This window comes from Homo sapiens, chromosome 1 (genome assembly GCF_000001405.40).
Source record: "Homo sapiens chromosome 1, GRCh38.p14 Primary Assembly".
NCBI classification, from domain to species: Eukaryota; Metazoa; Chordata; class Mammalia; order Primates; family Hominidae; genus Homo; species Homo sapiens.
This window is the reverse complement of record NC_000001.11, coordinates 200,448,536-200,460,946: the sequence shown is the minus strand read 5'-3', so window position 1 is coordinate 200,460,946 and position 12,411 is coordinate 200,448,536. Positions and strand designations below refer to the sequence as shown.

Sequence of the window (12,411 nt, the reverse complement as noted above, 5' to 3'; positions counted from 1 at the left end):
CTGTAATCTCACGACTTTGGGAGGCCGAGGAGGGTGGATTACCTGAGGTCAGGAGTTTGAGACCAGTCTGACCAACATGGTGGAACCCTATCTCTGCTAAAAATACAAAAATTAGCCGGGTGTGGTGGCAGGCGCCTGTAATCCCACCTACTCGGGAGGCTGAGGCAGGAGAATAACTTGAACCTGGGAGGCAGAAGTTGCAGTGAGCCGGGATCATGCCACTGCACTCCAGCCTGGATGATGGAGCAAGACTCCATCTCAAAAAAAAAAAAAAGAAAAGAAATTAATTTTAAAGATCACCAAATTTTATACTTCAAATGCAGCCTACTGTTATTCTGTTTTTCTCCTTTTTGGTAAATTCTGAGTGTACTATCTACTCTTCATATTGTACATTTTACCACACATTCTTTAGTAAAAAGCAGCAGTAAGGCAAGGTACAGTGGCTCACACCTGTAATCCCAGCACTTTGAGAGGTCAAGGCAGGACGATTGCTTGAGCCCAGGAGTTCAAGACCTGCCTGGGCATAATGGTGAGACCCTGTCTCTACAAATTTTTGTTAAAAAATTAGCTGGGTGTGGTGGCATACTCCTGTAGTCCCAGCTGCTTTGGAGGCTGAGGCAGGAGGATCGCTTGATCCCATTAGGTCTAGGCTGCAGTGAGCCATGTTCATGGCACTGCATTCCAGCCTGGGCAACAGAGAGAGACCCTATTTCCAAAAAAACCAAAACCAAAACCAAAAACATCAGTTCTGGCCAGGCGTGGTGGCTCATGCCTGTAATCCCAGCACTTTGGGAGGCCAAGGCGGGCAGATCATTTGGGGTCAGGAGTTTGAGACCAGCCTGGCCAACACAGCGAAACCCCTTCTCTATTAAAAATACAAAAAATTAGCTGGGCGCGGTGGCTCGTGCCTATAGTCCCAGCCACTTGGAAGAGTGAGACATGAGAATTGCTTGAACCAGGGAGGCGAGGTTGCAGTGAGCCAAGATTGCACGACTGCACTCCAGCCTGGGCCATAGAGTGAGACTCTGTCTCAAACAAATGAACAAACAAACAAACAAACAAAAAACCCCCAACAGTTCTGCCTCAAACGGTCCTCCTATGTTTGCAGTACTGTGCTGAGTACAGAAAGGGATTCAAGGGAAGTAGAAGATGAAATACCTTCCTGGGGCCTCAGCTGTCTTAGAATTAGCACAGGTCTCAGGGGTCAGCCCTCTGTTGAGACAAAACATTGTGAAGGTCCTTGCTAGGTGTAGATACCACATGATTTCTATCTGATGAAATATTAAAGAAAAAAAACTAAGGACATGACTGTGACTAATATGTGTCGAATATTTTGCTTAAGGTTGAGAAATAGGCAGACAATGAGAATAGAAGGAGAACCCACCTGGTCCCACATTTCCAGCCTCACTGTGGGTGAAGGCATGTTATCTCCTTTCTAGAATATTGAACATTTTATATTAGAAGCAAGAGAGTACAGAACTATAGCAAAATAGGACTGATAAAATATGCCCAAATCCTTTCTGAGTTTATTTTCTAACCATTTTCTAATATATTTATATTCCTATTACTATAAGATATAGAAGTAAACTTAAATATTTGTGTTAGTGATAACAATCACAATTTAGTAAAAACAAAAACAAAAACCCCAACCGTTTGGGAAGTTCTGTGTAATTTAAAAATAATGAGCAGAAATTTATTGGCTCATAGTTCTGGAGGCTAGAAAGTCCAGGGTCAAGGTGCTGGCAGGTTTGGTGTGTGCTGCGGGCCTGGCTTCCACTTCTAAGATGGCTTCTTGAATGCTGCATCCTACGGGGGCGCGGGGGAAGAACACTGTTCCTCACATGACAGATGAGTGGAAGAGTAAAGAGAGGGCGAGGGAAGGGAGGGGAGTAAACTCACGCTTTCATAAGGAGCCCACTCCTGATATAACAAACCCACTCCCGCGATAACGGCGTTAATTTATTCATGAGGCAGAGCCCTCATGACCTAGCCACCTGTTGTTAGACTCCGCCTCCAAACACTGATGCATTGGGGATTAAGTTTCCCACATACGAACTTCGGAGGACACATTCAAACGATAGCAGTGAGCCTTTTTACATCAGCTTTAATACCGACTGGATGGATGAACCAAAGCATACCCCTAGATCCAGCTGAGTATTTTCACACCTATACAAATAAAATATAACGTTTTCATTGATTCCTAATGTATTTCATGTGAAATGTCTGACTGTACCTTTAAAATTCAAAACGAAGATAGGCCAGTCACAGGGGTTCATGCCTGTAATTCCAGTACTTTGGGAGACTGAGGTGAGCTCAGGAGTTTGAGAGCATCTCGGGCAACATGGCGAAACCCCACCTCTACAAAAATATACAAAAATTAGCCAGGTGTGGTGGTGTGTGCCTGTGGTCCCAGCTGCTTGAGAGGCTGAGGTAGGAGAATCAATTGAGCCTGGGAAGTCGAAGCTGCAGTGAGCCGTGATCACATCACTGCACTCCAGCTGGGGCAATAGTGAGACTCTGTCTCAAAAAAAAAAGAATAAATAAAATTTCAACAAATAATGATTAAGACAATTTAGTTTAGTTTAATAAAATTGTTGAAAGTCTACTTTTTGCCAGGTTATTTATTAGATGTATTATGTGCATTGCACACACGTGCACCTGTATGTGCATGTGTGCCTGTATGTATGTACATGCGTGCATGTCTACAATTGTTCAGATGTTTTGGAAGATGTCAGGAAGAGAAAGATAACTAAGATGTGAAGTCTACCCTGGTGGAGGATTCGGATCACCCCAATGTCAAATAGCTCACCCCATATGATGGAATAACATAGCATCTATGAGGGATTTTTGTTTGTTTGTTTGAGACGGAGTCTTGCTCTGTCTCCCAGGCTGGAGCGCAGTGGCCCGGTCTCGGCTCACTGCAACCTCCGCCTCCCAAGTTCAAGTGATTCATCTATGAGGGATTTTATTAGCAGTAAGTAGAGTCTCTCTGTATAATATTTGAGATATGTTTCCCAACTTCCTCTTATTTAGTAGTTTTTGTGTTTTAAATACTTATTGTGTTTTTTTTTTTCTTATAACACCCTCATTTCAGCAATATTTTTATTGTCTTTGACTGGAATCTGTTCTTTTGTGATTTCTTTTTTTTTTTTCAAAGCTTAGGAAATTATCATTTTTCCAAAGAGGTAATAAGTACATCTGATTTTTCTATACTTTAACATTTAACTTTTAATTCAGATGGTGTTTAAAGAAACTTTTAAACCTCAATTGTCTGCATACACACACAATAAGGAGACTTGCAGTTTTAAAGAGCTGCTTAGCCAGGTGCGGTGGCTCATGCCTGTAATCCCAGCACTTTGGGAGGCAGAGGAGGGCAGATCACTTGAGGTCAGGAGTTTGAGGCCAGCCTGGCCAACATGGTGAAACGCCATCTCTACTAAAAATAGAAACATTAGCTGGGCATGGTGTTGCACACCTGTAATCCCAGCTACTCGGGAGGTTGAGGCAGGAGAATCTCTTGAACCCAGGAGGTGGAAGTTGCAGTGAGCCAAGATCAAGCCACTGCACTCCAGCCTGGGCAACAGAGTGAGATTCCATCTCAAAAAAAAGCTGCTTGGAAATTTTAAGAAGACACTACACAAATCATACCAAGGAAAAGTTGAGTTGGGTTTAAAAAGATAATCCCCACTCTAGAGAGATATAATAAGGAGAAAATAAAATAGTACAGGGGAAATATTTAACATTGCGCCTGGTGTGTAGAAAATACTCAAATCACTGTTGCATTTGAATCTCAAGGAAGATGCTTATGATAGCTCTTGAAACCATTTGAGTTTCTAGACATGGAAAAGACCTTAAATATGACACTTTCTACTTCAGCCTGAGGGAAAAAACATGAAAAAGATAAGTAGCTATCAAATGAGTAAGGATTTATGTGAAAAGTAACTGTACCCTCATTTTTGCATTTCTCTAAATGTTGCTCTAAATTATATAGTTTTAATTTCAGTGTAATTACTAGTGTTAGTATAACTGATATTTATGATAGTATTTAATGTACAGCAATGATAGCCTTTAATGAGAGTATTTAGCTGTCCAGAGAAAAGCATAACCAAGTGGGAAAGTCTGCCAAATCTTTACTTTGGTTAATTATATTTATTCATTCAATGTTATTTATTGAGCTTCTACTTTGTGCCAGGCAGTGTGGACACAGCCAACAACCAGCTGTGGGGATTAATTCTGGGAGAAACAGATATTAAACAACTATGTAATTGCAAAGTGAGTAATTATAATTTGGGGAGTACTTCCAAGGAGCTGTACAGGAGGCTAAGAGGGCACATGCTAGACCCCCTGGATGGAAAGCTGGTTGACGAGGTATTTTGGACACAAGGTCACAACTGAGACACCATCATCTTCCAGACCCAACTTCTAAAAGGTATTTAACAATACCTAGAAGGAGACTGTCTACTGTGACAGTCCTACAGGCCCATAGTCATCCCTGGCTACTGTTCATGGGTAATCTAATAGCCAGTGCCAAAGGGTTGGAGGGAAAAACACAAGGAAGAAAGTAAAAACTTTGATTTTTTATTTTTCCACAGGCTCAAGAATACTCAGGGAACAACTTATATCAACTTTATATTGTTAAATGTTATCGGCTGGGCATGGTGGCTCACACCTGTAATCCCAGCACTTTGGGAGGCCGAGGCGGGTGGATTACCTGAGGTCAGGAGTTTGAGACCAGCCTGGCCAACATGGCAAAACCCCGTCTCTACTAAAAATACAAAAATTAGCTGGGCATAGTGGCGGGTACCTGTAATCCCAGCTACCTGGGAGGCTAAGGCAGTAGAATCGCTTGAACCCGGGAGGCAGAGGTGCAGTGAGCTGAGATCGTGCCACTGCACTCCAGCCTGGGCAACAGAATGAGAAAAATAAATAAATAAATAAACAAAAATAAATGTTATCAAATAAGGTCTCTGATAACAGAGGACAGGAGGCAAAGGTGAGAAGGTTTAAAAGAGGTTAAGGGAGTGAGAAAATGTAGGAGAGGCTTAAGAAAGATTTGAGAAAAAATGAAAGGGGAAAGGGGAACTATATGACTTAAAATTTAAAGTCATCGTGAGATAACTTATGGTTATTCAAATTAATGTACTTTGGTGGTTAATCTTCAATGGAGTGCCTAAAAATGTGCTAGGTAATGTTATAGGTACTGGGAATACCAGGGTGAACAGCACCGGACCTTATTCCTGTTTTCATGGAGTTTGTAGACTAGTAAATCACAAAATAAAGTAAGTCATAAGAAGCATACAATTAAAACTAGATCCAACTGGGTTTACATTGGATACATCTATAAAGGAAAGATATGCATGGCAGTATAAGAGAATGCACCAGGGAGGCCGGGTGCCGTGGCTCACACCTGTAATACCAGCACTTTGGGAGGCCGAGGTGGGCGGATCACCTGTCAGGAGTTTGAGACCAGCCTGGCCCGTCTCTACTAAAAATACAAAAATTAGCTGGGCGTGGTGGCGCATGCCTGTAATCCCAGCTACCCAGAGGCTGAGGCAGGAGAATCACTGGAACCCAGGAAGCAGAGGCTGCAGTGAGCCGAGATTGCACCACTGCACTCCAACCTAGGCGACAGAGCAAGACCCCATCTCAAAAAAAAAAAAAAGACAGAGAATGCCCCAGGGGAACCGTACCTAGTGCAGGCAGGCCCTAGGGCATTAGGAAAATGATATCTAGGTGGAAAGGTGAAAAGTGTAAGTGTTCATTAGTGGGGACTGGGTATTCTGGGGAGAGGAAACACCATGCGCAGAGGCCCTGTGGCTGAAGGAAGTGTCATGTACTGAAGAAACTAAAAGACATTTAATAAGGCCAGAGCTGAAAGCAAGGACTGTGCAAGATGAGACTGGAAGGTACACGGGCGTCAGGCTGGATAGGGTTTAGTAGACCATGTTCAGGATTTGAGTATTTGCCCTAAGAGCAGTGGGAATCTCTTAGAGAGCGTTAAGTAACAGCTGATACAATATAATGTGGCTTGAGTTTTATAAAGATCATTACTGTTACTTGAGAAGAATACACTGGAGAAGGGCCTGCCTGGATGCAGGAAGCTTGTTGGGATGCTACTGGAGCGGCCTGGTGGCACAACCATGGAGGTGTGAGCTGGGGGGATGGTGAAGATGCGGAGAAGCTTACAAACCCAGCTTATGTTCAGGAGGAAAAGTCATCAGGACTGGGGGAAATGTTCTGGTTCACAGAACTGGGTGGATGGCATTGTCATTCCTGACAGAGGGAACCCTGAAAAACCATGTGTGGCCTGAGATAAGCAAGTGGAGATGCCGAGCTGGCAGCTGGACATTTGTGTCTGGTGCTCAAGTGAGTGATCAGGCCTGGAGATAAAATTAAGGCCTGTAATTCCAACACTTTGGGAGGCCGAGGTGGGAGGATCGCTTGAGCCTAGGAGTTTGAGACCAGCCTGGGCAATATAGTGAGACTGTTTCTGTAAAAAAAAAAAAAAGAAAAGAAAAGAAAAGGAAAAAAATGTGAGTGTCACCAGGCTATGGTCACAGCTAAGACAGACGGCCTCAGGAGAGGTTGGGTGTGAGAGAAGTACAGTGTTTGGGACTAGTCATGGGAAATTCTAGCCTTTAAAGTTTGGGGAAGGAAGAATGAGGCTGAGGAGGGGCCAAAAAGGTAGAGACCTGACTTCAACTCCAGCTTTCTGAATTCTGGTATTCCAGTATATCACACTGTTTTTTTACAGAGAAAAACTTTCCAACATTATCTCATGTTCCTAAAACTCTGAAATCCGGGTCATTTATGTCTTGAGGCAAATCTAGATGGTTACACGCTCTAAAATTTTTTAACTGATCAATGATGTGTTGATTTATAAAGCATTTACACCACAGTTCTATCCTGTCCAAAACCCTTCCAATGTACCTTTTAATCCCCATTTCCAAGTCACAGTGAAGTTCAGCACCTTTTCCTTTTCTTATGTAAATAGGTAGATGGGAGCCACCTTAAGATGTAGGGGCAAGAATGGAGAGGAGGAAAGGCAAGGAAGATTTCCTGGTCCAATTCCCAGCCCGAAAACCTCTCTTCCCTCTGCTCCCATCTTTTTCTTTTTTCTTTTTTTTTTTTAATTTCCCCATCTTCTGGAGCCTGACCATGTTTCCTCTATAAAAATTCTGTAAATAGAAACAATCAGGGTGCAGTGAGCCCTGATTGCGCCACTGCTCTCCAGCCTGGGCGACAGAGTGAAACCCTATCTCAAAAAAACAAAGCAAAACAAAACAAAAAACCCCAGTCATTTCATCTGGGGAGAGGCTCTGCTTCAAGGACAGCCTGGACTCTGGGCTTTAGGGTAGAAGAGCATCTGCAGAGGAAGAGTGGGGAGATGGTAGCCACCTCTCGTTTCTTCCGAGGATGACATTGAAGGACCACTATTGCCAGGCTGCTCCAGCATGGCAGTCACTACGTGGGAAGAACATGAGATCTCGGTATCACTGAAACCAAGCATTTCAAGGAGGTGGACAGAGATATGGCCTCAAATGTACCCATGGCATTTGGGAGATAATTGATAGTAGGAGCTGTCTTGGGGGGAAGGGGTGGAAGCTGTATTAAAGTGAGTTGAGGAGCCAGTGGGAAGTAAGGAAATACACAGGAAGTACACATAATGCTTTAGAAACTTGACTGTAAAAAGGAAGAGAGCGATAAGGGTGAAGAAGGATATAGGGTCTTAGGGAGGTTTTTGCTGTTTGTTTTTATTTAGATGAGATAATCCTGAGCACGTTTCAATCTCTTTTGAGAGAGTGAATTGAAATTCCCAGAGAGAAAAGGGATAAGCATGGAGAGAGCAAAACATTCCTAAGAAAGAAGGGGAGAATGGGACCTGTGGTGAGGGGAGGAGAGACAGCCGTCCTAAGTAGCAGGAGGGCAGGGAGGAGCAAGGGAGTTTGGAAATCTCTGTAGATGCTCTTGAAACAAGGACTGTGTCCTTTAACCTGGAAAAGGAGAGAAGTGAAATAGTCTAAAAAAGGGGTGACTTTTTCCCATTAGATCGTGAACTGTTAGAGGTTAAGGACTCTTAGTAATTTTTGCTCCAAAACACTCAATAAGGGTGTGTTGAACTGTATTGATAAAAAGCCCTACTATTTTTTTTTTTTTCAGACAGAGTCTCCTCTGTCGCCCAGGTTGGAGTGCAGTGGCACTATCTCAGTTCACTGCAACCTCTGCCTCCTGGGATCAAGTGATTCTCCTGCCTCAGCCTCCTGAGTAGCTAGGACTACAGGCACCCACCACCACACCCGGCTCATTTTTGTATTTTTAGTAGAGACAGGGTTTCACTAAAAACCAGGCTGGTCTTGAACTCCTGACCTCAGGTGATCTGCCCGCCTGGGCCTCCAAAAGTGCTGGGATTATAGGCATGAGCCACCACATCCAGCCAAAAGCCCTACTATTTCTTAAGTCCTTAGTAAGTGAGGGTTAAAATCTGAATACAAATCTTACAGGCTATTGATTATGAAGAACATATAAAACATACAGAACTTTCTTAGCCCTGTGAGTGAATATATTTTAAAATGTATGGATATTGATATATTTATAAACAACATTGTCATTTATAAATTTTTCTTTTAAGCAAGTAGGACTTCAGAATGTGTGTCTCGCCTGAATGTGAAATTTAAGTTTAGTTGTCTATTTCCCTGATTTAATGCTCCAGTTAGTTCTCTAAGAAAGCCCCAGATTGGTACATTTGCATTTATAGACTGCTGAGACTGTTTGCCCTCCTCTGAAGACATGCCCTGCCAACTAAACTGACCTTATTTGATGGTATTCAAGGTACATCATAGTATTCAAGGTAGATCAATAAATTAGAAAGAATTACACATTTGGACACTTGTAATACAAAACAAATAAAAGTCTAGCCTGTTGGCAACTACAAAGACGACCACCAAGAGGTAGAAAGTATGTTTCCCTTTTTGTTTTTTAATAAAATTTATCTGCCCCCTGAGTTCATGTCCTTTGCAGGGACATGGATGCAGCTGGAAACCATCATTCTGAGCACACTATCACAAGGACAGAAAACCAAACACCACATGTTCTCACTCATAGGTGGGAATTGAATAATGAGAACACTTGGACACAAGGTGGGGGACATCACACACTGGGCCTGTCGTGGGGTGGGGGGCAGGGGGAGGGATAGCATTGGGAGTAATACCTAATGTAAATGACGGGTTGATGGGTGCAGCGAGCCAGCATGGCACGTGTATATCTGTGTAATGAGCCTGCACGTTGTGCACATGTACCCTAGAACTTAAAGTATATTAAAAAAAAAAAGCAGAAAAATCAAGTAAAAAAATAAATAAATAAAATTTATCTGCCCCCAGTTAACACTTATTAAGCATCTAACTTAATGCATTTGCACAAGAGATACAGTATTTGCTTGAGTCACTATTGAATAACATCATTATAATATTCACTCATATCTATTTATCCTAATATTGTTATCCAACATCTAATCCCATAAGTGCTCTATCTCTTCTGAACTCAAATAATTGTTGTATTCTCATCATCATTTTGTATATGCATCACTGCTTAGCATAAAGCCCGGCTTATCAGAGGTGTTAAATGATTGTTGACTGAACAAATGAAAGCTTCCCAGTAACTCATCTACTAGGTGTCATATACCCTATCTCCCCAACTCAACAACCAATGTAGGGCAGGGGCTCTAGCAGCCTCATCTCTCAGACTCTTACATCACCAGGCATGCAGTAGAGATTCTGTAGATGTTTGTTGAATGAATGCATACTATAGTTCTAATTAGTATTGATTTTGTATTTAATTAGTAGTATGTTTTCATTCATTTTCTTTTTTTGATTCTTTCTTTCACCTTCTGCTTTTGTCTCCCCCTAAATTGGTCAATTTCTCTTCCCTTACCTTTTCGAGTATATTTTTGGTACCAGGTCTTTCACATCTGTCTTTTCAAATATACATTGGTATTAGGCCTTTCATATTCTGTTGACCATATTGGACAGATTAGGTAAAGTAGTCTTCTGTTGTAAAGACCCATCGTATCAATGATACGATTAATCAAATTTACTTAGCAAAATGATGACCCAACATGACAATGAAACACTTAGATGTCCTTCAGAATCCAGCTGAAGTAACAGGTAACTTGAGTGTGTGTTTGTGTGTGGGTGTGTATGTGCGCGACTGTAGGACCATAACCATATCTTACAGTAATAGAGATAAAAAAACACTATTTTCCCCCTCTCCTGTTGTGGTTTGTTGGCTCTTCCTTGTCATGTATTAATAATAATGATTTTGGCATTGGCAGGTACTCACAGTCATTACATTTGTGGTTATCCAATGTGTCTCAGCATCACTTGGATGTTTAATCACCCGCAAAAGCTGTCCATTATGTTTTATACTCCACCGCCATGAACATTATTTCTTAAATATATTTTGATTTAGCTCAACAGAGCTCATTTATTTTTGAAAAATAAAGTGACAATTATAAGTTTTTTGATATGGGAAGTCTAATACTCAGAGTAATTCTTATTTGCACATTCAGACACTCTTTTTTTTCAGGTGGGCTCAAGAAAATAACATTACACTATAAATTGGGTTGATTTGTTTTGCTTCTCAATAAACTGTATCCCTGTAAATAATGATAATATTGTCTTTGATTGAGTCTCGCTTTGTGGTAGTATTTTACTTATATTATTTCTAATCCTTACTACCTCTATACAAGGTGATATTACAGTATTCTCCTTTTTTAGGTGAGGAAATTTAGGGTTAGCAAGACTACATAACTTACTTACAGCCTTTCAACCAGTGGCTCAATGATTAAAAAGGAATCCTTAAACACAATTTTCAAAGAGGAACCTTTTTCATAAATGGAGTGAGACTGATGGAAAGGGTTTATAGGTTGGATAAAGAGGATAGACAGGAAAATTGATCCCCTGACACATGACTTCCTCACATGGCTGCCATGATCCATATTCCCATCAGGAATTTCTAATACCACTACCAGATGGATATAAGAGGCTGGTATAAAGTTATTCCCTACTCCAGGAGAATTTGATTGGCACAATAAGAAGAGAGAAAACGAAAATGAGGGGATGAGGTTAGGAGATTTTAGAGTAGTGCCTGTTAAGTGGGCCACTTACCACCTGCATCAGATCACCAGATATGCCTGTTAAAAATGCAGGTTCCTGGGCCTGTGCTCAGACTTTCTTTAGCAAATCTGGAACCCGGGGTGGAGGCAGGGCATACCAGGTGAGCTTCTGTACACTAAGGTGGGAAAATTTCTAAATTAGGGTGACAGCCAAGAGATTGGGAATCAGTGCTATAACAGGAAATCACAATGGAAAGATACTATAATTTAATGTTCCTAGCTCGGACTTTAAAATTTACTTACAATGCTTGTTTTGCCAGCACAAATCTAAAAATAATAAACAAAAAAAAACCAAAGAAATAAAATGACATAATTTAATGCAATTATTTTGTTTAAAAAATTAGGAAATTTAGATAATGAGAATCACAGAAAATTATACAACTAGAGAAAATCCCCGTTACTATTTTGGCTATTTCCTTTCCATCTTTTTCATTATGCAAATCTCAATACATTTATATAACTGACATCACACACTCTGTACTCTTCTTTCCTAAAATTGTATCTACCATAAGCAATGTTTCTAGTTGCTAAAAATTCTTTGAAAAATTAATGGCTGCATAATCGTTTATCATTTGGATAAAATTTAATTTATTTAACCACGTTTTCATTATTGAACTTTTAAGTTGTTTTTGTTTTTTTCTTCAGTACATCACATATGTTTTTATTTTATTGTTATTTAAAATTCAGCTGGGTGCAGTGGCTCATGCCTGTAATCCCAGCATTTTTGGAGGCCGAGGCGGGCAGATCACATGAGGTCAGAATTTCGAGACCAGCCTGGCCAACATGGTGAAACCCCGTCTGTACTAAAAATACAAAAATTAGCTGGGGGTGGTGGTGGACACCTGTAATCACAGCTACTTGGGAGGCAGAGGCAGGAGAATCACTTGAACCCAGGAGGCAGAGGTTGCAGTGAGCCTAGATCGTGCTGCTGTACTCTAGCCTGGGTGACAAAGCAAGACTCCTGTCTCAAAGAAATAAATAAAATTCAACTTTACTAAGTTAATCAATCTTTTTCTTATGCGTTTTAGAAAGTTCAAGCAAGTTTCACCACAGAGGTTCTGAAAGATGTTATTTCAGGTACTTTTTTTTTAGTATTTTGCGTTCTGAGATGGTTGTCTATCCAGCTGGGGCCCAAGGCAATGGATTTCTCTGGATACACAAGAGGAACTGGGGTAATGAGTTTGGCTTAGAAGAATATTATCAAAAAGAATGAATGAAACAGTTATCTTAATAAAATTGAA

General features: G+C 41.1%; 1 annotated feature.

The window, feature by feature from the left end:
• Window positions 12,306-12,395: an enhancer, noted in NCBI's record as "active region_2300". NCBI's record gives its function as "activates an Ori minimal core promoter by ATAC-STARR-seq in GM12878 lymphoblastoid cells {active_cell/tissue: GM12878}" and the evidence as "EXISTENCE:reporter gene assay evidence [ECO:0000049][PMID:35858748]".